The 25,814-nt window shown below is 53.5% G+C and overlaps 1 protein-coding gene across 6 annotated transcripts in view, besides 4 other annotated features; it reads left to right on the top strand.

The window, feature by feature from the left end:
- Window positions 919–1,418: an enhancer, noted in NCBI's record as "H3K4me1 hESC enhancer chr11:134295949-134296448 (GRCh37/hg19 assembly coordinates)". NCBI's record gives its function as "activates a minimal SCP1, AML or CMV promoter by ChIP-STARR-seq in primed H9 embryonic stem cells {active_cell/tissue: H9 hESC(primed)}" and the evidence as "EXISTENCE:reporter gene assay evidence [ECO:0000049][PMID:30033119]".
- Window positions 1,419–1,920: an enhancer, noted in NCBI's record as "H3K4me1 hESC enhancer chr11:134295447-134295948 (GRCh37/hg19 assembly coordinates)". NCBI's record gives its function as "activates a minimal SCP1, AML or CMV promoter by ChIP-STARR-seq in primed H9 embryonic stem cells {active_cell/tissue: H9 hESC(primed)}" and the evidence as "EXISTENCE:reporter gene assay evidence [ECO:0000049][PMID:30033119]".
- B3GAT1 (beta-1,3-glucuronyltransferase 1) overlaps window positions 15,231–25,814 on the top strand; it is a 33,739-nt gene continuing 23,155 nt past the window's right edge. For 3 of the 6 annotated variants that reach the window (XM_047426771.1, NM_001367973.1, NM_054025.3), the window contains exon 1: window positions 15,231–15,666. The gene's annotated coding sequence lies outside the window, so the exon portion shown is untranslated. Of the gene's footprint in view, window positions 15,667–15,828; window positions 17,766–25,814 lie in introns of those variants that run through there. The other 3 variants (XM_047426772.1, NM_018644.3, XM_017017551.3) reach the window with 3 other exon arrangements.
- Window positions 16,083–16,642: an enhancer, noted in NCBI's record as "H3K4me1 hESC enhancer chr11:134280725-134281284 (GRCh37/hg19 assembly coordinates)". NCBI's record gives its function as "activates a minimal SCP1, AML or CMV promoter by ChIP-STARR-seq in naive H9 embryonic stem cells {active_cell/tissue: H9 hESC(naive)}" and the evidence as "EXISTENCE:reporter gene assay evidence [ECO:0000049][PMID:30033119]".
- Window positions 22,563–23,064: an enhancer, noted in NCBI's record as "H3K4me1 hESC enhancer chr11:134274303-134274804 (GRCh37/hg19 assembly coordinates)". NCBI's record gives its function as "activates a minimal SCP1, AML or CMV promoter by ChIP-STARR-seq in naive H9 embryonic stem cells {active_cell/tissue: H9 hESC(naive)}" and the evidence as "EXISTENCE:reporter gene assay evidence [ECO:0000049][PMID:30033119]".

Genomic DNA, 25,814 nt, shown 5'->3' with positions numbered 1-25,814 from the left:
TTCCTCACGTTTACTGTGACCTTTCCACAGACTAGGAAACTTCAGTCCCTATGGCAGGTCCTGTTTCACAGCTGCCTGGCCTTCCTGCAACCGCTGCCTGCCAGGCTGACCTTCTCCTGGGTGCCTCTGTACCAAGCAGTCCCCACCTGCCAAGATTTTAGCCTACCCCAACTTTCCCCAGCATTGGCAATCCATCTGGCTGGCTTCCCTGCTGCTGAAACCTGCCCTGATGCCCTCCCTGCAATTCTCAGTCTCCTGACCCCACAGTCCCCAGGCACACCAGCTGCCAAATAAACCTGAGGTCTAAGGATGTTGGTTCCAGAGTCTGCCCAGTTCCCTTTGAATGTTATCAAGCCCAGCACTATGCCTCATTTACCTTAGGATCAAGGTTCTTTATCACAGTGATGCTAAACTAGTTCACTGCAGAATAACTAAGAAGTAACTAAGTTTAGACACAGCCATGCATGCAAATCACAGGCATTTAGAGGCAGCAAGAATCTTAGACCTAGCTCATCCAGCCCACCCACCTCACTTCAGAGTTAAAAAGATTCCAGCTCAGAGAGGGTTAATGATTGCCAATGGTCACACAGCAAGCCAATCACTTATAAAAGCAATATGGATTTCTCCACACCCAACTGATGGTCTAGGTATAGTCCTGCTGAGAGACAGAAATAGGACTCAATGGCAGGTGTGAAGTCCAGGGCTCAGCAGCAGGAAAATGAACATGTGCCCATGGCTAGCTTCTCTGGCCCCTCCAACTTGGTGTTGATGGAACTTGGGTCCCAAGTCGTAAAAGAAAGGTTCTGAAAACATTTGGTCCATGTCGCTGCCTCCAGCCATGTATGTATCCTCACCATGTCTTTGGCAATCCTGTTTCTATTCTCCTTCTCACTTACCCAACTAAACACTAACATGGTCCAACTAAATGTCACCACTGGACCTATAAACTAAGGCAAATCAGATCTAAGTTCTTGAATTCCTCGCCACCCACAGGCTGTGGGTCTGAGGACAAGTTTGGGAGAGAGAATATGCTTCTGTCGGCAACCTCAGCTTCCTGCCTGGTCCTCCCTGCAAAGCTGAGCTCCCAGGGAGGAGGGAGGACAACAGGCCTAGCCAAAGAAACACCATGTGAGGAGCCTCAGGGCCCCAGTGCCTGATGGCTGTGCTGATCTAATTGGGTTGTAGGAGGAGGAGAAATCTGAAGCCCCACATGACAGAAGGTTCCAGCTCAATCTGTGGCTTGCGCTGAAGAGCTAAATGACACGTAATTCAGTTAAAGGAGAAGGAAGCAAACCTCATCACAACAGTTGAAAACACGAAAACAACAAATAAACAGCTGCTTTGAGCCGGCAACAAGGAGGCCAATTTGATCTTTGCAGAAAGAAAAGTGCCATTTTGCCTGTGTGTGTATGCACGAGCGAGCGGGCATGTGTGTGTGCAGGGAGGGGTGGCACACTCCGGGAAGCGGCAGCTGCAAGCAGTTGAGAGAACAGCATCAACCAAGTTCTCGGAACAATCTGTGAGATTAGAGCTGTGCCCTTCACAGCACATAGAGGAGGGTCCCAAGTTTCAATACTCAGGCTATACCCACTCGCAATCCCCCACCGCACTCATTCTCCACCTGTTGCAGCCTGGCCACGGGGGAAATATTTCGACTCTGACTGCCAAATGTCCTGCTCTTGAAAGTGCGCCACATACCCACCAGCCACTGGTGAATGTGAGACAAATAACACAGGTCTTCCCCTTCAGTGTGGGAGGCAAACAACCTCAAAGAACCACAGATGAGCAACACAAAATAGGATTCCAGATCCCTCTCCAGAGTTAGTGATCAGAATCCACTAGGGCCCAGTGAGTCAGTGTTTTAGTAGGTACCTCAGGTGATTCCTTTGCACACAAGGGGTGAGGTGACATGTTGTCTCTAAGAGCCTCAGTTAGCTATTGCTATAAAAATTCTGCATAACAAAAATAAACTCAGAAACTCTCAATAGTGTAAAACAATAGTCGTTTGTTCTCACAGATCAGCAGGGAAGCAGAGGCAGCTCAGTTTCCAGCTGTAGACCCTGGATTGCCAGGAGGCTGGGGGCTGCTCCACGTGTATTTATTCTGGGTCCCAGGCTGAGGGCACAACAACTCTTCCCACAGCAAAGAGGAGGAAGACAAGGTGGAAACCCAGGAGGCCTTGGGGCCTGATGTCAGAACAGGCTCGTGGTCACCTCCACCCATGCAATGTCCAAAGGAAGTTGCACAGTCAGTCGCAGGGTCAAAGGATGTGGACCAACACACAGAGGAGTGAAGAACTGGGGCCCACTCATCCTTACAGTTTCTTATTTCCTTTATCAGCAAAAGATTCTCAATTCCCAATTATCCCATCTATAAAATGGGTGCACAGTAATCCCCACCCCTACTCTCTCATGGAAGTAATGCAAGGATGTAATAGATAATGTTCTTGATAGTGATTTCTAAACCGTAGGGGCTGATATGTACATTAGCCAACATGCCTGTGACCCCTATACGTGAGTCCAAGAGGTGAAGGAGGGTGGTAGATCAGATGACCTCTCTGTTCTGTCAGGCTCTCCAAGTCTGTGTTGTGTGGCCAGATTGCATACTACTGCGTGTCGGTATTCATTTACTCACCCGACCTGCCCTGATGCTCTCAGCTCAGTGAAAAGCACAGCAGAAGGCCACCCTTGGGTCGACCCAAGTCTTCCTGCTGGAGAGACCACAGTGATACTTCTGAATGCCCAGCCAAGGGATCCTTTCACCATAGCACCCAACTCTATCTGTCCCCAGTTAACATTACACTCCTGCTCCTGAAACCGTCAATCATTCTGGGCTGCAGGAACACATAGATCCCAGGTAGTCAGCAGCTACATCACTCTCAGGATGTCCGCAGTACTAGAGCTTTTGGTAAAGGCCCTGCTCTGTCTGATAAATTTGTTGTGATCCCCATGTATTTTGTTCCAAAGAGCTCTGCCTGGTACCTTGATATTAGGAAAGACACAAACTGATGCTGTGGCATCTCTGTCCTGATACATTAACCGCGATGGGCCGGCACGTGGAATCCTGGCTCAGCTCTTAAGCCCCATTGCCCGCAGTGCTGTGATGTGTTACTGGGCCACTCAGGACCACTGGCAGCCATGCACCTGGAAGCAAATTTGCCCTCTGCTGAAGAGGCCCAGGTGTCTGGAATAAGCCCATGGCTCCCAGTCCTCCGAGACTGAGCTTGAACCGAGACACTGGCTCCTAACACATCTTCCTCTCCAACGTGCATTTGAGATTTGGCTTTTTGTGTGTTTCTGTGGACGGATGGATGGATATCAACCTGCATCCAGTCACTCCTGGCAGCTTGTGGTCTGAAGCCCCTCCTCTCCCCTATCATCCCATCACCCCAGTGATGGGACCCGTGGAACCTCTCCCCAAGCTCCTCTCCAACCTGTATTAAGAGTTTTGACATACCTAGATAAAGACACTCGTCTCCAGGATACAGGGAGACCAGAGAGGATGAAGGCATGCTTTGTGCATTTTCCAATCTGCGCCTCTGCGGTATGTTTATGTCAGTCTCACCTAGAACTCAGTGAGCTTTCTCAACCTTCAGACACAAGTATTTGGCAAACCCAAAAAGATTTTCCTGTATTATTTCTTTATTTATTGCTTCTCCATCTGTTCACTTTTCTCGTTCTGGAATGCCTACTATTTACATATGAAACCTCCAGAATCTGTCCTCCAAGTATCTTATTTCTCCTCCTAATTTCCAACTCTTCATTTTTGCTGCATATTTGAGATTTGTCTTCCACGTGATCTTCTAAGGCACTGATTTACTTCTCTGTACTTGCCATCTCCTTTAACATAGCTACTGAATTTTCCAACTTGGAAAGCAGGACTTTGTCTTCCAGAAAGTCTTCACTGTGCTGTGGTTTAACCTCTCTCGTGCTCTAGTTTCATAATCACTACAGTTAGTTTGTTCTCTGTGTCCTCGAGTAGAGCCACCTACTCTTGTGTTCCAGCTGCTCTCCTCTGTCCTGCTGAAGGTCCCCATAGGTGTGTTTTATTTTCCTCAGATGCCCCACATTTACCTTCTGGGCCCTGGCAGGCTGTTGAATTCCCTCGAGCAGCAGCGAACTGTGATTGCTGTGAGTCCTCGTGGGAAGCCACCCGCCCTCCACAGGGACTCCAGGATGAAGCCACTCTGCTTCTACGCCTTGGTAGCCTCCGCAGCATTCTCTCAGCTTCGGCGGTGGGGAGGGATTCAGCCCACCCCTAGCACCTCCCGCAGCTTCTCTGGGTCCAGGGAGACCAGCTGTATCCAACTGTTACTTAGAATCTTCCCTGAATTAGCTAATATTCATCTCAAACTTAACATCCAAAACAGAACCCTTGGGTTTTCCTAGGAAATCTGATTATTCCTCCCACTATTCCCCTCCTTCTCCAGTGCACAAACCTAGGCCTTGCCCTTGAGTCCTTGACTTCCCTCACCATGCACATCCAAAACCCAAGTCTTGGTTATCCCAGGTCTAATTACCACATTTTCCCATTAAGATATTTGCTATGTATACAGTAATCAGATTTTCTTAATTAGGCTGTACAGTCCTGGATTTTGACTGCCTACTTCTAATGATTTATTTAGGCACTCATGCACTCAACAAATATGTATTAAGTACCTACTGAAGGCCAGGCCCTGGGTTAGGTGCTTGGGAAACAGTGGTGAACAAAACATGGCCCTCAAGATGCAGGTATGAAAACATGGAACTCAACAGGGAATTCTGCACATAGGGCCAGGGGTAGACAGGGATAAGGGCCGAGTACTGTGGGGATAGAAGGGATAGCTGCCCATTCCCTCTGATTCATGTGAAGGATCCAACCCCTACTTTCTTCCCTGAAGTTTCGTTTACTCTTCCTATTCAGCAGGAGTCCCCAGTAGCCTTGCATCTTCCCTGTCCCACTCCCCATGGGCATCCCACTCTCTTCTGATGGATACCTCCTTCCTCTCACCCATCTGTCTGACACCATCCCCCTTTCCCTGGCAGGAGAGGACCGCCCCACTGTGCTCCTGCCTCACACAGCAGCGGGGGGACTGCAGTCAATCACTCTCTCTTCTGCTGCTCCTGCTGCCAATATCCAAAGGTGGCACTGTTTAAGAGAAGATCCTAGGTCAGCAAACCCTAACTCTAGCTATTCTCAGCTCTACCAGCTTCATGACCTTAGGCAACTCTCTGGGCCTTCTTGGGCCTGCATTTCCTCTTTTGTAAAATAAATCAAATTACAGACAAGATTCCTTCTGGAGAAGATTTCACCCAGAATTGACATCCAATGAATTTATACGACTTTTTTACTATGAATTTAATGGAATGTAGGACTCTTATCTTGGTAAAGAGAAATCAAAGGGTGGACATGATGCTGCTTTCACACTTAGATCCTGTCTGGTGCCCAGGAAGCTTGGTCACTCCAAGTGAGCTTTGTGGACCAGAGGCATCTGCATTACCCGAGCACTCTTCAGAAATGCAGCCTCCGGGGCCTCCAGAATCAGAATCTACACTTTATTCAGACTCTAGTCAGAATCAGAAGATTCCTAAGTGCTTTACAGTATGAGAGGTACTACTCAAGAGGACACAGCCCAAAGTGTCAAAGGGAGGCAGGTTTCAGTTTTGAAAAAGAGAAAGAACTTTTCACCAAAAAGAGCAGACCAAACATGGGATGGGTTGTCTAGAAGGCAGTAAGGATCTCTGCCATCGGGTTCAAGCAGAAGCAGAATGGCCACTTCTCAAGGACGTCGTACAGAACAGAGTATTCTGTAGGAGTGTGGATGCCTTCGCCTGCAGGCTTCCTTCTAACTTGAGGGTATAAGATTTTTAAATTCTGACTCTGCCATTGCCTCAGTTTCCTCCAGGGCGGAAGGGAGCCAGAACTCATGCCCACTGGTCATCTTCACTGGTTTTGAGATGGCATCACCAAGCATGGATGCCATTGTGGGAGGGTAGAGTACAGTAGAGGAGAGTGACAGGCCCCACAGAGACCACATTATTCCCTTGTCACACAGAGACCATTTCCAAAAAAGGCCTCTGCGTCTACTACAAGCCTGGAAACCTCATTCCTTTTGGACTGCAGGAGGGCCCCTTCTCCCTTCCTGGTCAAGGGCCTGGATTCTCAATTTAGAAGCTAATTCTCATTCACATTAGTCCATCTCACAGATAGAATTAGAAGCCGGGTGATGATTTGGAAAATACAATCAATTTAGTCCAATTGTTCTTGCATGTCAGCTCCATGCAGTAATGAAGAATTTGCTCCTCTGGCTCTCGCACTGACAAGGAGCCACTATCTACGGGAGTGAGGCTGGTCTGATAGAACGCGGGAGCTTCACGGTGGAGAGGCACCCAGGCCAGCACCAGAGGGAGAGGCAGGGAGGACAAGGGCCAGATTCTGCTGCTGGGGGAAAACATGACCAGAGCAGGATAATATATCTCTACCAAGCCAGACCACAAGACAGGGCCCATGTCAATGCCCCTGAGTGCACCAGTGTATACAATACACGTGTCTGTCTCCGATTCCTTATACACGATTGGGAGATGATGGCACCTACTGCTCCTCATCTCATGGGATTATACTCCGTGACAAAAAAGAACATAATTCATTGACTTTTAATAAACGTTTACAATAGCTGATGTTCATTAGGCATCAGGCGTGTGGCAGACATCGTGCCAGGCAAAGCAGCCGATCTAATGAACAAGACACAGTCTGAACATCCAAAGAACTGAAGTGAAACTATGCCCTGACCATAAAAAGTAAGAATGACGGCAGTGAGGATGGTGGTGGGGATGATGGCGGTGATGACAGGCAAGTAAGAATGACGGCGGCGGTGAGGATGGTGGTGGGGATGATGGCGGTGATGACAGGCAAGTAAGAATGACGGCGGTGAGGATGGTGGTGGGGATGATGGCGGTGATGACAGGCAAGTAAGAATGACGGCGGTGAGGATGGTGGTGGGGATGATGGCGGTGATGACAGGCAAGTAAGAATGACGGCGGTGAGGATGGTGGTGGGGATGATGGCGGTGATGACAGGCATCCCTCCACAAAGGCACCACTGCCTGGTGACTGATTTTCATGTGCAGTGAAAGATTGTTCCTCCTATTGCTCATCTTGGCTACGAGCTAAAAGACATTAAAATGCTTTTGTACAAAGCAAACAGTATGCATATTTTATGAAATACATTCCTCTGCCTGTTTAATTGTGAGATCTTCAAAAGAGGCAGAGAGATTCACCATTCACCACTGGCATGAATGGATGGGGTTTCAGTGTCAGCCTTGGGAGGCCCCCTGATGCTGTCATGTCCTGGCTCTCTAGGCCTGTGGAGGAAGGAGCTGGAGGGCTAGGCCCTAAGATGTGGCCTGGCCACTTTCGTTCCTCCGGGATCCTCAATATGTCCAGTTGTAAAGTTAAAATATCTACTTTCCCACTGCCTAAGGTTTCTCAAGCCTGGTTTATCACAAATCAATCTGCTGAGATTTACAATAATAATGGTGGTTTTATAGGTCATTAGAAGTGGGTTGTCCTGGAGACTCCTAGAAGTCACCCACACTAGGTTTCCAGAAGCATCTCTAGTGGTCTTCCCAGGTGCTTTCACTGCCAGGACACTCCCATCCTGCCCCTAATCCTTAGTCTAGAATGTGGACATTCCAGTTCCCTGGCAAAACAACACTGCAGCTCTCAAGGTGGTTTCACACTGAGGCTCTGCTGGGCCTTCCTATCTAGCAAGTGTGGACATCTCCAGGTGGTCTGTGGCTGGCCACACCAGGCCAGGCCTAGGAGAGGACTGTGTGATTGTCCCAGCTACGTCAACAGGCAAATGTCACTTAACAAAGCCTTGCATAGGTTTATCAAACAACTGGTGGCCTGGAGCCGGGGACCTCCTCACTGCACAACAGAACTAACTCATGGAAATCGGCTTTCAGTTCTGCCAGTTGGGCCACCATCACACAAAGACAACTGCACCTTGATTTGAAGACCAGGAACCAGGACTCCATCATACCTTCTCTACACCAGGAACTTGCCATCAGCCCCATAGAACACTGTCTTTATCCCCCTGCATTGTAACTCTTCCATTGTCCCTTCTCCCTATTAGACCGTAAGCTCATCGAGGGTAAGTAAGAAGTACTGCCCAGTAACCAGCATCTAGCGGCACCCAGTAAATGGTGGTTAAGTGAGCAAACAAAAAATGGAGGAACTGAAAGATGAGAACATATAGAACTATTGATTTTTACAGACATATAATATGACAAGTTAAAAGGATCTTAAATATCACCTAGCAACCAGAAATGGCCCCCCTGCTCTCTCTCTCTCTCTCTCTCTCTCTCTCTCTCTCTCTGTGTGTGTGTGTGTGTGTGTGTGTGTGTGTGTGTGTGATTACCCTGCCACCCACTCAAGGCAGACATCACTAATTGGTCATGGTGCCCTGTGCTCCTTACCACAGATGTAGCTTCAGTACATTTCACCCAGCTACAACTAGTTTACTGAAATCTGCATCCAGGATAAAACTGATTTGCCATCCCAGATCCAGCTCAGCCCCCTCCTTGGGAACATGAGTCCTCTTAACCTTCTCCAGTCCTTCCCCAAATAGTACAGTTTCCACTCACATGCCTTATCTAGCTGTCACTTTAAAGAAGGTCCTGCCTCTTTCAAAGAAACACAATGACAATGCCTGGAAAAAGGGCTCCGTGTGGATGTCACCTGGCTTCCACAATGCGATGCCTTCCTGCCAAACCCAAGTTCGGCTTCCAGAGTCCTGATACTGCTTACATCCAGATGCGGGAACATATGCCGCGCATGAGTGGAGCTGGCCTCGGTGCTGAAACATGGATATGTATATATGAGACTGTAAAACCTACATTATTGAGGATTTAGGGTGTTTGCTTTGCTGAATGAAGGATTAGAGACCAGAAAGCCCAAAATGACCATCCGTTTGCAGAAAACATAGCTGGAGGATTACAACTGTCAGATGTGTGCTCAAACCCAGGGGGCCCTATTAAAGCTCTCCCTAACTCCCTAGACCCTTAATCTATCACTAGGCTATGGGAGGACAGATCACCAGTTCCCTACAGAGCCCCTGAGTGTTTTCAGCCAGGAAGTCGTAATCAGATAAAAAGCAGTTTTTCCAGCTCCAGGCATGGGTGCAGCCACAGAGGCTTGGGAGCTAATTGTCTGGGCAGTAGGCCCAGGACTTCGATCTTTGGGATCTCAGTGAAGGACCAACCGTTTCATGTTTTGATGAGAGCAGTACCCAGGGTTTCCAGTGGCCTAGCTCCATCATGTTTTCTCAATATCTAAGGAGGGAGGAGCTTTGTCCCTAACACTCAACATGCTTTCTATTCACGGGTCCATATTTCCTCTCTCTCACTTCCCAGAAATCCTGCCAGACTCTTTCTTGTCTCATAAAGCCAACAGGGAAACGTTCTTCAGTCCCGCCAGCTTCCCACAATCAGCCAGGAATCTGCCAGGAAGTATTTGATGTGAGTTATCTCTTTTCCTATCTGGCATAACACATAGTTCAGACCACATGCAGGTTGGGCAAAGGACATCAATGTCCAGTAATTCCAAGTGTCTTTCTTCCCAACTTTGCCACCCTGTTGGCTCCAGGGGAACAGAAAGAAAGTCACCGGCCTGAGTCATCTTGAAATGGAGGAGCGAGATCTTCCAATATGTTGAATTACGCTTCTCAAACCTTTCAGTATGCAGCCTTTCTTTCAGAATATGCCTGAACAAAAACCACTGTTGTAAGTCTGAATTCACCAACAAGTGTTATGGTCTTCTCTTCCTCTTCCATCCAAAAAGTCGCTGTACCCCAACCCCTTGGGTGATCACAAAAAGGTTCTGAAGGCTGCTGCCCACAGGAGACCCCTCTGCCTCTCCCAGTTTTTGACATTTGCAGCAGCCCCTGCCCAGGTCTCAGTGTGGCTTCTCAACAGCTCAGCCTTCTGCCCGGCTCTTCTCCCCTGCAGAAAAATCCGTGGTAGGCACATGGGGAAGGGCAGACAGTAGACAGAAGAATCCGTGGTAGGCACATGGGGAAGGGCAGACACTAGAAGCGAAACACTGAAACCTCAGGCTGGAGAAAACCATGGGACCATAAGCAGGAGCTGGCCCTTCATTTCTGTCTTTCCCACACCTATCAAAATTCCTGGCCATCGGAGCTGCTCAGAATTTTGATGAATGAATAAATGGAATCAGCACATCCATGTGGCAGGACTCCTAGCACCTTTTTTCTTTCTTCCAAATCCCAAAAGGAAAGGGTAAGGAGTCCTTTCTGCAGATGCTCTACTAATACCCAAAGGTCTAGGATGTCTGCCCATCACCCAAGCCACGGAGGGGAGTTTGGGCAGGAAATTAGACGACTCCATCCATCATATTTATTGAACAGCCACTCTCTGGAAGACGCTAGTGCAGGAGGTCACTCACGCACATGAATCCTCAAACTCCAAGCAGAGAGTGTCCTTTCCGCTCCCCATGGCTCTCTCCTCTCTCTCCACTCTCCAGCCTCACCTGCTGCACGTGTTCCTCAAGCACACCAAGCCTCCCGCAAACCCCTCAGGTCGCCTATCGCTGTCCTCCTTGCTGGGCCAATATTCCCCCGGGTTTTGGCTCAAACATGGCCTCTTCAAAGAGCCTCTCCCTGATCCTACCCTCCCAGGACTCTCTCCAGCTCTTGACCCTATTTCTTCCCTTCCTGTATCTCCTCCACCTCTGTTTGTTCTGTGCATTTGCCCATCTATGGACCACTAGCATATAATCCCTGAGTTGTGCTCTGACGATGAGCCTGAGTCCTGGAACTAGGCTGCCTGCCTCAAATGCTGGCTATGTCACTTACTAGGCATGTGACCTTAATTAAATTACCTAAATACTACGCCCCAGATTCCTGACCTATAAATGGAAACTATAATCGAAACTTGTCACAAACAGTACCTTGTAAATAACACCTTACATATGAAATTAGCTAACGTGCATGAAGACTTGGAACCTAACCTGGTGCATACATATAAATGGCCTAATTGAAGTTAACACTCCTAATTGCTGTTGTTTACTGCATGTCTCTGGTGCCCAGCACAGTGCCTGGCATATGACTGGAGCTCAGTAAATATTAGCTGAACACAGGAAAGCATGCACAGATGGGTAAGAGCCTCCAGATGTGTCCGGATAAAGTGCTATGGGACTGAGGGGAAGAGCAGTTCACTGCCAGAGGTGCCTGAGGGTCGGGAGGGCTATAGGAGACAGCACAAGCCACAGAGCTCAGGTTGGGAAAGGCTTCAGTGAGACTTTGGAGGTGTGGGCTCTGCAGAGTAGTTAGGGGATAGTGGGGAGGTCAAAAGGCAATCTGGGTTATTTTCACTTCTGCAAGAGGACAAAGAACGGTCCCAGGTTAGCCTCAGAGATGCTCCCCTAAGTCTGAGGGCTCTGCTCCTATCACCTCTCATCCCTCCCTCAGCCACAGAGGAAAGAAGGCAAAACAAAATGACATGACTGAAGTGTTCTAAAGCCATGTAACTGCACCCTTTCCCTGGAGGCAGAGACTGGAGAGAAGCAGGAGTCAGCCTTTTTGCACCAGCTCAGGAAAGATGCCGGCCTGGCTTCTGAGAAGAGAGGAGGGCAGAGGGAAACCTGTTGACCACATGACCATTTTCAATTTTTTATGGACAAACAAGGGTGTTCAAGATCCAAAGCTCAGACCAGAAACCTAATGAAAGGGAAGAGTTAAAAGGTCTCCTCCTCTTTCTGTATCTGGGCCATGAACTCCACCACCCAAAACAGCACATCCACACACATCCGTCCAGGAGCCACTGTGGGAACAGTTCAGACACGCCTGATAGCATGGCTGGGTCCCTGGGGAGCTCACCCTGCCTGCCGAGGCAGAGGGCAGCTCTTCCTCCTCTCACTCCCCCTGCTCTCTGGCAGCATCTGGGTGTGCCCATGCATGTGCATGTGCTGTCACCCTTGCCAGGGCAATGACGGGAGAGGACGGGCACCTTGTGGGGTGGGATTCCTCACTGAAGAATCCCACTGGGACCTTTCCACTCACATCAGCAAAATCACTGCTATAGATTCCTGGTGAAGGCAAGGGGAGATTGGATGGCCCCCAACAATCAGACTGGCTAAGACGGGTGGGGTGAGGGCCTGGGCCCCACAGGCCAGGGCGGCAAGCAGCGCAGCTGCGTTGCCTCTCTTGGGTGGTAGCTAAGAAGGACGGCACGGCTGAAAAGGCAGTATCATTAGGAGTCTGGAGCAGACCAAAACTCCTGCTGAAAGAGAGGCCAGGGCAGACAGAACCCACGAGGGGAACAATTAACTGATAAGAGTAAACTAATTGTTATTCATATTAAATTAGGGCACAGGTGATTTGGAGAAAACCTACAGACCATCCCAGATGTTTTGCAGGTTTTGCATTGCAGATGACGGTTTTACAGGACTCTTCTGGGATTCAGATTATGGGAAGTGGGCCAGGATCAGAGCGGGGGCAGGGCTCCCGTCCTGCTTAACTACACAATAAACACATAACGGTTTGTCCCAGAGGACAAACCCGGGCTTTGCATACTAAACATGCTGGTGCTAGGCTTTGGGGGCCTCTGAGAAGAGGGGCTCACTACTGGCAGGGAAGGCAGGGGGAGGGGAAGATCAATCATTCAGGGAGACCTTAGAGGTGCTCCAGATGTTTGGAGCAAGGGTCAAGCTGTGAGGATGCACCAAGTCCAGACATGGGAGGGAAGGATTTCCACAGTCCTGCAGAGGCCAAGCAGGAAGACAGGGGTGGGAGTGTGGCTGACCCGGGGGATGGTGTGTGTACACGTGTGTCTGTGTGGGTGCAGGTGCTTCAGGTACATCCGTGTGCAAGCGTTTACATGTGCACATGATGTATTTCAGAGTGTGTGTGTGTGTTCATGTGGGTGAATCTGCATGTGTAGCTGCCTCTATGAGCATGTTTTGTGCCTGCGTAGATGTCAGTACATTTGTGTGTGTCCATACACTTGGGATGTTGCCAAAACTTCCCACCAAAACGAATGGCAGGCTGTTGTCTCTTCACTGAGCCTTATCATGCTAATTTTAATCTCCTATTATTGTTTTAAATTGGCTCTAAAAATTAATACTAAAAATTCTGTAAACAGAGCCTGGAACTAAGATGCAAGACAGGTCCCTTGAAAGCGGCTTTATTATCACAATTGTTCCTGCCAGAATGCTGAGGTAAAGCCGAGAACCCCTGCAGACAGCATCTCCGAGCCACAGCCCAGCAGGACAAGTCGGACCACAGCCCACTTAGTCCAACCCTCTGTTTCATTACTGAAACCAGCCCTGAGGGGAAGTCTTTTGCTAGTGCCTTCAGAATCGGCCTGAAACCCAGGCCTCCTCGTCGCCATGTCCCTGAGCTCTCTTGAGATCACCCCTCATGGGTGTGTTTCCCTGTTGGTAAAATGAGGGTCTGGAACGAGACAGTCTTCACGGTCATTTCTGTCCTCCCATTTGGTGATTGTGTGACTGCGGCTGGCTGGCTTAGCAGAGGAGGGAGGCAATGTGCCCTCCTGGACGGCCTGGCCCCTCCTTGGTGCTCTCTGGTACCCCCGCCCATCCTGCTTCTGCACCTGCCCTTCCCCTCCCTTCAGCTGGTGTGGAGTCTAAGGAGAAGCAGAGTATGGAGACTAGGAAAATACCAGAGAACACCGACTTAGGAAAGGTCTCTTAGCAGAGTCTAAAAGAGAGGGTTGTAGTAGGGGCAGAAGAAGGCGGAGCAAGGCTGGCTGGGATTCCACTCATTAAGAGAAGGGGGAAATGCTCCTGTACCGCAGCAGGAGGTACTGAGGTTAGATTCAGAGGAAGTTTCTTGCCGGCAAAGGGGGCTGTTAAGCACAACAATGAAAGAGCGCACGACAAGGAGGAGCAGTTATCCCTAGAGATAGTCACTAAGGACACTTTCACATGTCTGTGGCATGATACGGACGGTGAGGTGCCTTCCTCCCCTCAAAATCTTGACCAAAGGGGCTGATTCTGGAGTCTCTGCCCCCTCCCCACCTGCACATCCTCAGTGGGAAGAGCAGGGCCCGGCTTGGTCCTAACAGGGCAGGAAAGCTGATGGAAAAGAGGCCCGTGGTCCTCAGCCCCAGCCCATAGCACGGGGGCACAGCTCTGGTTAAGCAGTGCCTAGCAGTGGGGCTGGAACTGGTTTCCCGGGAAGGAGGGAGACCCTAGAGAAAGTACCGACAGTCCCTGGTCCCGCCGCGAACCCCGCCATGGGAGGTGGCCTTCTCCTGGGGCTGTGAAGAGGACACAGCGGGTGTGGCCCGAATACAGGTGTCCAAGAGCACCGGGAGATGCCAACCTCTAAAACGAGTGCAAGGATGGCTTCAAAGTCTCCGACAAGCTGAAGGAGTATCTGGAATATACAGCTCCACAGAGGCACCCTACCAGTGCACCCACATACGTCCAAGTGCGCGCCCACTCACTGGCCTCCGTCCCCCGCCGACCAACACACCGCGGCAGAGGCCCGGGAAACTCCTGGAGATCCCGCTGCCCCCGGCCTCCCCGCGCCCGTCCGCCCACGCAGGCCTCCCGGGCCTCTCTCCGGAACGCCGGGTGCACCGGCCCGGAAGGGGAGGCTGGGGTGAGGCTGACGCGCGGCGGCTCGAGGTGCCCTTCCACGGGGCAGCAGACCCCGTACCCCGGCACGGCACCGTCCGCCCCCACCGGCCACCTCCCATCCGGGGTGCCTGGAGCCAAGGAAGGAGCCGCATCCCCCACCGGCTTCCCAGCTCGGCCTCTCGGTCCCAGAGCGCCGCCCCCCGCCCTCCTGCAGCAGCCCGGCCGGAAACAATCACCCTTTGAGAGAGGCTGCCAAGCTGGGCGCCAGGAGCAGCCAGGATGGAGGCGGGGTGGAATGGGGGTGCAGGCGGGGGCCGAGCTTTAACTCTCGAGAGCCGAGATCTGGGGGTGCGCTCGGCCCCTGCCCGCCACCCCTGCTCCGCCGCCTGAAGCGGGAGCCGCCTCCGCGGGGGACGGTGCCGGGGGAGGGTGGGGGGCGGTGGGGAGGTGATACCAATCCCGGGGGGGGGTCCCCTCGCCGGCCTCCCTCCTCGCGCCCCCGCCTAGGCTGGCGAGGTTGGTACCGACCATTAGCAGCTCGGGTCCCGCCGGCGCTGGCGCGGGCTCGGGGCGGGGGCGGGGCGGGGGCGGAGAGCGGGTGGGGGCGGGGCGGGAGGCGCCGGCAGAGCCGCGGCGGCACCGGCGCATCCGCCGCCACCTCGGGGACTCTGCGCCGGCCCGGTCGGCTCGGCTCCGGCCGCGCGCCCCCCTCGCCCCTCTCGCCCCCGCGCCCGCTCCCCGCTCCCCCTCCCCGCTCCCCCTCCCCGCCCCCCGCCCCCCGCCTCCCTGCCCGCGCCCTCCCTCCCGCGCGCTCCCAGCCTTCGGCCGCCGCCTCGCTGAGCCCAGAACGAGCCGGGCCGGGGCGGCGGGGCCGGGCGGGGCGGGCGGGCGCGCGGACCCCGCGGCTATGAAGTGGCCCCCGGGGGCCCGGAGCCCGACAGTCCCCGGGGAGGGAGCCGCACGCGGCCCAGGGCAGCGGTCTAGGGGCGCCGGGGCCGGGGCGTAGGGGCCGTTGCCCGCGATGGACCGCACCGGAGACGCTCCGGACTCGTCGCCGCAGGTCAGTGCTCCCCGCGCCCCCGCGGGCGCCCCGCCGCGCACAGAGCCCCTTTCTGCGTCCCCATCGGTGCCCACGCCATGTCCTCCCGGGCGCGCGCTGGGGTGTGTGTGTGTGTGTGTGTGTGTGTGTGTGTGTGCGCTGCGCGCGCTGGGGGCAGCTGGAAAGGGGGCCGAGAACCGAGCTCGGGCTGGGAGGCGCTGCTGCCGAGGGGCTGCGAAACAAAACCCGGCACAGCCTGCCCTCGTCGACCGGGATTAGGGGAAGAGCTGGTTCTCAGCAGCTTCTAACAATCGGCCCGGGCTCTCAGTCGTCAGTTCCCGGCCCCCTCAGCAGGTGGTTTCTGGTGGCCGGATGAGGAGTCAGGGGTCAGTCGTCCCCCACCTCCCCACCCCTGCTGCCCAACAGCGCTCTCTGGATCGCTCTCTGGCTCCTGGGCACTGCCAAGTTAACTCTCTTGAGGGGGCCCGAGCTCTGCGGGGCGCGCTGAGGGACCCAGGGGTAGCAAGGGTGGCAAAGGGCCCTTGGGACCTTCGGTGTAGCAAGGAGGAAGGAGGCGCGACCAGTTCACCACCCTCCCATCTGCACCTGGGCTCAGGTCTGAGGTCCCAATCCCTCCAAAGTCAGAGCACACAACTTCCAGAAAAAGGAGGCTGAGAGTTGAGGCAGGAAATAGAGAAGGAAGCCACCAGGTCCGACAGTGCCAGGGTAAGGAGGTGACAGCCCCGTACCAAGCAGCTAAGGTCAAGAACCACCCCCACATGCACACACATGGGAGCCTTGGCCAACTTCCCTGTCCCCTTCCTCCCCCAGCCAGGCCTAGCTGCATGGATTCTTGTAGAAGCTGGAGCTGAAGGACTCTGGACATACAGGAAGGGGACCTTTACTGACAGTTGCTAGCCCAGTGCATGGGCACCTGCATAGGTGGGGTGCCCAATGGGGCCTAGAGCTTGGGCTGTGTAGCACGCACTGTTGAAAATGTTGGGGTACGGATGTCGTAGGGCCTAGCACTGTGCAATGCCTGGATGTGTTTGTGTGGAAATGGGAGGCACATCACTCCCTAAGTTACTAGGGCTGTGGGGCATGTGGCTGCACAGGACTGTTGTTCTAGGGTTTTCTAAGATTTGTCTTCTGTGCTTATGTCGCCCTACCTCTGCTGGTAGCCACTGCAGAGACTGAGACATTTCCTCCCAGAGTCTGCTCAGTTGGTGACCATTAATGGCCTTACTGGACCAAACATCAAGCCTTCCCTTTCTTCCCATGGGGTGAAGACCCTTTCCCAGGGTCTTCAGACAGACTTCTCACTCTGCCCAGTCCATGCCCAGCACTGCCAAAGGTTCCAGAGCTTAGAGACATTTTCCCTCTTCCCCTTTTCATGGAAGCAGAAATACTTGCTAAGGTTAATGGGACTGGGAGAGTTAATGCATCTGTGCCCCATTCAGCACTGGAGCCAGGAGCTCGCTGTTCCTGTTTCTGTGCCTGACCCCAGGATGCTTGGGGATCACTCCAGGTCCAGGTGAGCTGGAAGCTTGCAGGCGCTGTGTTGAATATGTGTGTGTAGGTTTCTGGTTGGGCAGTTACTCACTGTTCCACCAGAAGCAGGGGGCAGGTAAATCACTGAGGAGATAAGCTCCAGCAACAGGATTGGAGCCCGTGGCGGAGACCAAGGAGCTTCACAGGAGGATGCCCTGGGGCAAGCCCAGTTCCTCAGCTTCGGCTTCTGGGGAGACCTGAAGGTTCTCTTAGTGGTTTCTCGGGGATAAGGGGACCAAGTCAGATATACTTTTCCTAGGTGTGGAGCACAGGGTGATGAGGCCGGCCAGGAGCTGGGAGTGTGAGATGGGGAAGAGGATGCACCAACCGAAAGGCTGAGCGGACAGGAGCATGGTGCTCCATTGTTTCTGGAAGAGAGGGATGAGTGTTCCTCTCTGATGAGAATGGAGAGGAGGAGAGGAACGGGCTCAGGAGGAGGAGGAATCCGAGAGAGAGCCTGACTGAGGCAGAGAAAGAGGCAGTGAGACAAGAGACAAAGGCACGGAGGCGCACTGGCGGACAGCAGAGGGAGGCACACAGGCAGAAGTCAGGGCCTCCCTGACTGAGTGGTGAGTTGGGGCAGGCTGGGGGCCTCCCCCTGTTCCCCTACATCGACCTCAGCAATTGTCCACCCCTGCAGGAGGCCCCTCACTAGAGCAGTTGGACATTCTACTGAGGAAGGTGCTTTCCTGTGGCTCTCAGGAATGTGAGGGTCTTTTAGACAGAAGCCCAAAGGCAGAGGGAGGCCAGGCTATGAGGTCAAGCACATCAAGAGCTTGCAGGGACTTTCAGGGACACCCTTCACCCCTGAGCATCTCACAATGCTGAGGGCTCCTCTCCATCTTCTGGCCCTGCCCCAGCCCTCCTGGTCCTGGAATGCAGGGCAGTGGGGAAGGATGTGGGGTCTGGGGAAACCTGGCACTCAGGAGAAGAAGAGAAGTCATGCACCCCCTCCCCAGGCCCCCAGGCAAAAAGACCTTTGGGGACCCTACTGAAGACTAGCCAGGGGACATGGAAGAAGTGCAGTGGGGACAGGCCCTTGGCCAGGCTGTCTGAGGTCCAGTCTCATCTCCATCTGTGGCTAGCCGAGTAGACTTTGAAAAAAACAGAGCTCTCTAAGCCCCGGCTTCCTGGCAGTCTATAAATTGGGAAACTGTCATCTCACCAGTTTTTAGAAGAAATACTAGATGAATTTTAATTTAATCTATTTATTTTATACACCCTCACCCCCTTGCTTCCAGGATGAGGATGGCTCTAGAATTTGGAGTAGCAGCGTCAGGCCAGCCCTGGAGCCAATCCCACTGGAATCGGTGCAGGCTGTCCCACCTCCCTCCTCACCCCACTGGAATAGGTGGAGGCTATCCCACCTCCCTCCTCACCCCACTGGAATCGGTGCAGGCTGTCCCACCTCCCTCCTCACCCCACTGGAATAGGTGCAGGCTGTCCCACCTCCCTCCTCACCCCACTGGAGTCGGTGCAGGCTGTCCCACCTCCCTCCTCACCCCACTGGAATAGGTGCAGGCTGTCCCACCTCCCTCCTCACCCCACTGGAATCGGTGCAGGCTGTCCCACCTCCCTCCTCACCCCACTGGAATAGGTGCAGGCTATCCCACCTCCCTCCTCACCCCACTGGAATCGGTGCAGGCTGTCCCACCTCCCTCCTCACCCCACTGGAATAGGTGCAGGCTGTCCCACCTCCCTCCTCACCCCACTGGAATAGGTGCAGGCTATCCCACCTCCCTCCTCACCCCACTGGAATCGGTGCAGGCTGTCCCACCTCCCTCCTCACCCCACTGGAATCGGTGCAGGCTGTCCCACCTCCCTCCTCACCCCACTGGAGTCGGTGCAGGCTGTCCCACCTCCCTCCTCACCCCACTGGAATCGGTGGAGGCTGTCCCACCTCCCTCCTCACCCCACTGGAATCGGTGCAGGCTGTCCCACCTCCCTCCTCACCCCACTGGAATCGGTGCAGGCTGTCCCACCTCCCTCCTCACCCCACTGGAATCGGTGCAGGCTGTCCCACCTCCCTCTTCACCCCACTAGAATAGGTGCAGGCTGTCCCACCTCCCTCCTCACCCCACTGGAATCGGTGCAGGCTGTCCCACCTCCCTCCTCACCCGCTTGAGTCCTCACACCTCCAGACTCTGGGCTGGACCCACCCTTCCTTATCCCAACCCAAAGAACCCAGAGCCCGCCTTGGCTCAGAGTTCGTCCTTGCCAAACACAAAATAATACTTTCGTGTCTAATTATTGTTAAATGTAATCCTTCCAATTTATCAGCAAATGGTCGTCTAAAAAAAAAAATCTTGACACCAAAATTCCAGATCTGTGAGCCCTTCTTATCCATGCTGAAAGGTGACAGGGTGGTCAGAGAGCCCCCAAAATTCAGTTCACTTGCACCAACACTGACCAAGCACTTACGGTGTTGGAGGCTCTGCACCAGGTGCTGGGAACGTGAAACATCAAATAATCCAAAAGTCCAAATCTAGTGTTTTCTGTTTAGCTTTGGAAGGGTTATGTGGGTTGCTTTTTTTTTTTTTGCAGCTACAGCAAATTTACTTTTCTAATGAGGTTTAGCTCCAGCCAATATTAAAATGAGCCTGCGCTCCCTGCGCACACACCAGCTGACAGCAGGGCAGGAGGCAGCCTCCGCGCCAAGTGCCTGGCAGGGATTAAGGCTTTACCTCTGATAAGCGCAAAAGTGGAGAGTATGAGTCTGGATCAAGAGTTGACTGGATTTGAGGACTAACCTTGCCCAGGGGGCTGTGGATTCCACGGCTCAGTCTTCTGAGCCATGGCAGGAGCTCTCTCTTCTCATACGTGGGAAATGTGAGCCAGCTCTCTGCTCACAGGAAGAAGACCTAGAGGGATGGGGGAGTGGAGACATGACGGCACGGCGTGGGGAGTGCCAATGGCACTGTAGTTGGAGGCCTGGCTCTGCCCGTCCTCTCTGGCTGGCTATGTGGGCTGGGGTCCTCTCCTTCCCCTCTGCCCATCTTGCTTCCTCTGTCTGTGGCAGGTGAGCAATCTGGCCTCTGAGGCCATGAGTCTCTCTTTGAACCCTGGGCTACTCATTTGTCCATTGTTCAGAAACTGTTAGAGCCCCACACTGGGCATGGGGGGCTGCATCCGTCCCCACCCTGAGCAGCTCCTCAGTCACACCAGCCACATTTCAAGTGGGCAACAGCCACATGTGGCTAGAGGCTGCCATCTTGGGCGGTACAGATACAGAACGTTCCCGGCAGCACGGAAAGTTCTAGTGGGCAGAGTGTTGTGGACCTGAGCCTGCACAGGTGTTTTGGGCACGGAAAGTTCTAGTGGGCAGAGTGTTGTGGACCTGAGCCTGCACAGGTGTTTTGGGCACGGAAAGTTCTAGTGGGCAGAGTGTTGTGGACCGGAGCCTGCACAGGTGTTTTGGCAGGGTGGCTAAGTGCCAGGTCCTACTGGCTGGATTCAGGTCCTAGTTCTGCCACTTAGTAGCTGTGTGGCCTCAGGACGTTGCTTAACCTCTCTGTGCCTCAGACTTCTCACTTTTAAAATGAGGGTAATAATAGGATGTTTCTGAGGAGGAAATGAGTCATTACAGTTAATCATGCTAATCACTCAGAGCATGCAACAGCAAGAGCTTTTTTATTTTTTATTTGAAAATAGAAAGCCATTTTTATTATTCATTTATTTAACAATTCACTTAAAGGCTTATTGAAAAGCCCACTCTGCCAGGCCGCCCCCCCACCCACCCAATCAACACAAGTCCTGGCTACCTCTGTGACCCTTCCTGAGCCTCCACCTCCTCCCCTAGGATGGGATTATTCCTGACTGAGTGCTCACTGAAGCCCAGGGAGCTAGAATGAGATGAGGAAAGCAACCTTGCTTTGTGCAGACGCAGCCAGATAGAGGGGCTGATGCTTTTTGGAGGTGAGTGCCACTGAAATTCTGTTTTGTCACTAAAAAGCATCTGCTAAGCCCCCACACTTTCAGAATAAGAGCAGCAAAGGAGGCATGGTTAGCTGCCACCAGCCAGCACCATGTCGAGCAGGGATGGAGGAAGGGATGTGAGAGGCCCCTGCCTGGGCTCACCCCTCCCTGGTCTGGAGGGCGAGAGCCCAGAGGCTGCTGTGGGCTTAGTGGAGGGAGCAGAGCCTGGAGGTCTCAGAGGCCAACTGTGCTGCCACGAGCCCCCCGGGCGCTGGTCCCAGCTGCGTCTGCAACTCACTGTGCCACAGACACTGGTGGGGCCTCAGTTTCCTCGTCTAAGACAGGAGGGACAGGGCTGCATGAGCGTTTCCTCACCTGGAAAAATCACTTCCACAGAGCGACCCAAGCCGGAGGCCAGAGGGAGGGACCCTGCCCACCAAGCCACCAGGGGTGGAAGGTGAGGGCTGGCCTGAGGGGCAGGAGCTGGCCATTGGTAGCCAGGCTGGTGCTGGACACCCCAGGCTACCTGGCTGCCAGCCTTCTCCCAGAAGTTGGATTGTGCAACCCTGGGCTACTCCCTTCTTTTCACAGATGAGGGGACAGACACCCAGAGCAGCCCTGCTCCTGTCTAGGGGCCACAGAGCAATTTCACACAAGGCAGAGGCTGCATGCCCCAGTGCCCTCCCGGGCAGATTGTTGGTACTACTGGCAGGCAGATGTGTGGGGCTGGGGGCTGCCACCCCCGGGGTCGGGGCGCAACGCTGAGACTCCCAGGGCCCCTCACCTCCTCTCTTCTCCCTCAGACGGCTGGACCCAGGAAAACCAACCTCAACTATCCCTGACAGAGCCCTGGGGAAGGTCAGCTCCTTCAGGCCACAGGCGGCAAATTAAAAATACAGACAAACTAATGAAACCCGTGAATTGCTAGCCTGCCAGAGTGTGTCTACGCACCCTGACCACAGGACCTCACCAGGCGGGTGACCATCAGTGGACCCTCCGTGGCTTCAGACCTGGGTTTGGGGCTGCCCGGTGCCTACCTAGCCCGGACCTGAAGCCCTCTGGGTCCCCGTAGCTGATGGGGGGTCCCCTTGGGGGCGTCTTCCGAAGCCTAAGGAGGTCACCACTGCTCTGACACCCTTGAAGATAAGTCCTGACCCCCAAGGAGTGCCGGTGCTGGGTCCCTCTGAGGCAGGGCTGTGGCAAATGCCACCCCCGTGGAGTTGCTGGCAGGCCGTAGGTGCATATCAACAATATCGTCACCCCCCCAGCCCTGCTTGCCTGCCCCAGCCCTTCTTCTTCCCTCCTCTTCCCTCATCCACAGACCACAGAGTGGGAGAGACGGCCGCTCGTGGCACGGGGAGGACACTGAGCCCAGAGAGGCCAAGGGACCGGCCAGTTGCACCCACACTGCAGCTGACCGACACAGGCCCGGCCCAGCTCTGCCAGCCTGCCTGGGCTGAAGTACAGCCTCCGGGCGAGCTGCTTTCCTCACGGTCAGAGAGTTTCTGCGTGGTAGCTGAAGTATTACTCTCCTAACTCATCGCCTGTCGATATTAGCTTCTTCTCCCACACATAAATCTCTCTCTCAGAACAAGTGCTCCAGCACTGTGTCTCTGCGGCTCCCCAGGCCTGAGGACAGCGAGGCGGTTGCAGGCTGTCAGTGGGGCGTGCACACTCTTCCGAGTGGCGTACCTGGAGCCTTGGAGGGGGGCCTCCCGCAGGCATACCTGGTGCCTGTCACCCCGTGATTCCCAGGAAGGTGCATGCTTGAGATCACACACAGACACCCAACCCAGCCGTGAATGCTCACTGAAGCCCAGGGTGCAGGCTCCGAGGAGTGTGCTGTCCTTGACTGTGTCTAAACGGATGTTCTGGATGAATGACAGACTCGTTTTCATTGTTATTTAAAAAACACATAACATAAAACTTACCATCTTAGCCATTTTCAAGTGCACAGTTCAGCAGTGCTGAGTATATTTACATTGTTGTGAAACAGATCTCCAGATCTGTCTCATCTCGGCCATTGGAAACTCTGTACCCATTCTGGAAACCATCATTCTCAGCAAACTGTCGCAAGGACAAAAAACCAAACACCGCATGTTCTCACTCATAGGTGGGAATTGAACAATGAGAACACTTGGACACAGGAAGGGGAACATCACACACCGGGGCCTGTCGTGGGATAGCGGGAGAGGGGAGGGATAGCATTAGGAGATATTGCTAATGCTAAATGATGAGTTAATGGGTGCAGCACACCAACATGGCACATGTATACATATGTAACAAACCTGCACATTGTGCACATGTACCCTAGAACTTAACGTATAATAAATATATATATATATATATATATATATATATATATATATATATATATAAAGAAAGAAACTCTGTACCCGTTAAATGACTCCCATTCTCCACAACATCCCAGCCCCCACAAGCCACCATCCTAGTTTCTGTCTCTATGAATTTTACTACTCTGGATACCTCATAGAAATTGAATCCTGTGATATTTGTCCTTTTAAGACTGGCTTATTTCACTTAGCATAGTGTCCTCAAGATTCGTCCATGTCAGGGCATGTGTTAAAATGTTCTCCCTTTTTAAGGCTGAATAATATTCCATTGCATGTGTATTCCACATTTTCTTTATTTTCTTTATCCAGTCATCTGGTTGACAGGTTATTTGATGTCAGGCTGTGGAGCAAAAGCTCAATAAATGGCAATTCTCCCCACTTGCCCTTCCCACTCAGGAGATGTCTGAGCAGAGGGGCCACCCAGCAAATACTTCTGCCCAGAGGGAAGCTATGTCACAGTGTCATGGGAGCATCAAGAAGGAGGCACCCCATTCTACCTGGCATCTGGTCTGGCCTCTGGGGCTCCCTTCCTGCATCCAGGGCTGCCCAGGCACCCTGTGGTGCCCAGCCCTGAGTGTGAAGCCCCTGGGCTGAGTGTACCTGGCCTGGTCCTGGGGGCCAAGCAACTCAGCAAGTGGAGGGACTATGAGGGAGGGAAGCATGTCCCAGGCAAACGTACCGGTGTGAAGGGATGCCAGCCTCCTGCTCTCATCCCTGCTGCCTTCCCGGGACCCCGAGAAAGAAATCGGCCGGGTACTCCTAGAGTCTACCTGGGGATGGGAGCCCAGGAGAGCCTGGAGATCCCCTCCCCCAGGTATGTGGAGGCCTGTCTTGAGCCTGTGCCTTGGGCTACATGTCGGTGGTGGACCGTGGATCCGTAGCCGCCCTGGTGCTCACTGTGTGATAGGTAGCCTGGGAAACCCAGAGATAGTATCAGCACACTCCACTGTCAGGGGCACTGAGACTGAGGACCGCGGGATCATCGCACCCACACCTCCTCTGCTGTGTAGGGCACACACTGCCCACTCTGGTTCACACATGTGCTCAGGGGGCAAGTCCCCTACCCAAGCCCCTTCGACTTTTTTTTTTTTTTTTGAAACAGAGTCTCGCTCTGTTGCCCAGGCTGGAGTGCAGTGACGCAATCTCAGCTCACTGCAAACTCCACCTCCCGGGCTCAAGTTATTCTCCTGCCTCAGCCTCCCCAGTAGCTGGGATTATAGGCACCTGCCACAACACCTGGCTAATTTTTGTATTTTCAGTAGAGACAGGGTTTCCCCATGTTGGCCAGGCTGGTCTCCAACTCCTGACCTCAAGTGATCCACCCACCTCAGCCTCCCAATGTGCTGGGGTTACAGGCATGAGTCACTGTGCCTGACCCAGTTCAACATTTTATGTTAATTGTTTCTTCTTCAGGCAGGGGGGTTAGCTGACACCCCAGAGGAGGGAGGGACCTTAGGGGCAGGGCAGGTGTAACAGAGGGAGGTGGGGGAGCCCTGGAAGTAGGAGGTGGTGAAAGGAAAGTTCTCCAGGAGCCTGAGCCTGCATCCTGGGGAGACGGGGCAGGGAGTGACAGTGCCCAGGGCTCGCTGGCCCTAGAGCCCCATGGACAAGTCAGTTCTCTGACAGCTCTGGAGGCAGGAGAAGAGAAGAGGGATGGGGAATCTCTGAAATCACCGGTCCTTCCTGAGTGCCTTTCTGGGAAGCTGGGCAGAGACACAGGACCAGACTGGGCAGGGTGACGGGAGGGAAGCAGCAACCGCACACTGGGGCATACCCGCGACTTGACTCTAGCTCAGTGTGTCAGTTCCAAACCTCAGTCTCCCCACCTGAAGAAGCAGGGTGACAGGATGGGTGCCCACCTCATCTCAGGTGGCTGCACCGAGGCTACAGCAGGAAAAGGCATGAGAAAGTGCCTTGTCGCCTGGTCCACCTGTGCAGGGGCACGTCCTCCAAGCAGGAACAGAGGGAGCCAGGGCCACAGCGCCAGGTTCCAGGGGCCCCGCCTCCCGACAGTGGTCAGGCTGCCCGCCCCCCCCCGCCCCAGGCCACACCCTTTTGTCACAACTGCATGCTGGTGTGCCCAGTTTCCATTGAGCTCAAGCCACAGCACCGCCTCGTGCTGGGGAGAGAAGAATGTGCTGGAAAGGCTGCCCGAAGGCTGGTCGCCACTGAGCCATGAGGAAGGGGCCAAGGTGCCTCCTTCCTCTGCCCTTCCTCTCCCAGGCACTTGGATTCAGCTGAGTTTTACTTTTTTTTAAATTTTTTATAAATTCAGCATTTATTTTAGATTCAGTGGTACATGTGCAGGTTTGTTACCCGGGTATATTATGTGATGCTGAGATTTGAGGC

Source organism: Homo sapiens, chromosome 11 (genome assembly GCF_000001405.40).
Source record: "Homo sapiens chromosome 11, GRCh38.p14 Primary Assembly".
Classification (NCBI taxonomy): Eukaryota; Metazoa; Chordata; class Mammalia; order Primates; family Hominidae; genus Homo; species Homo sapiens.
Note: the sequence above shows the minus strand (reverse complement) of the source record. Positions and strands in the feature narration are given on the sequence as shown.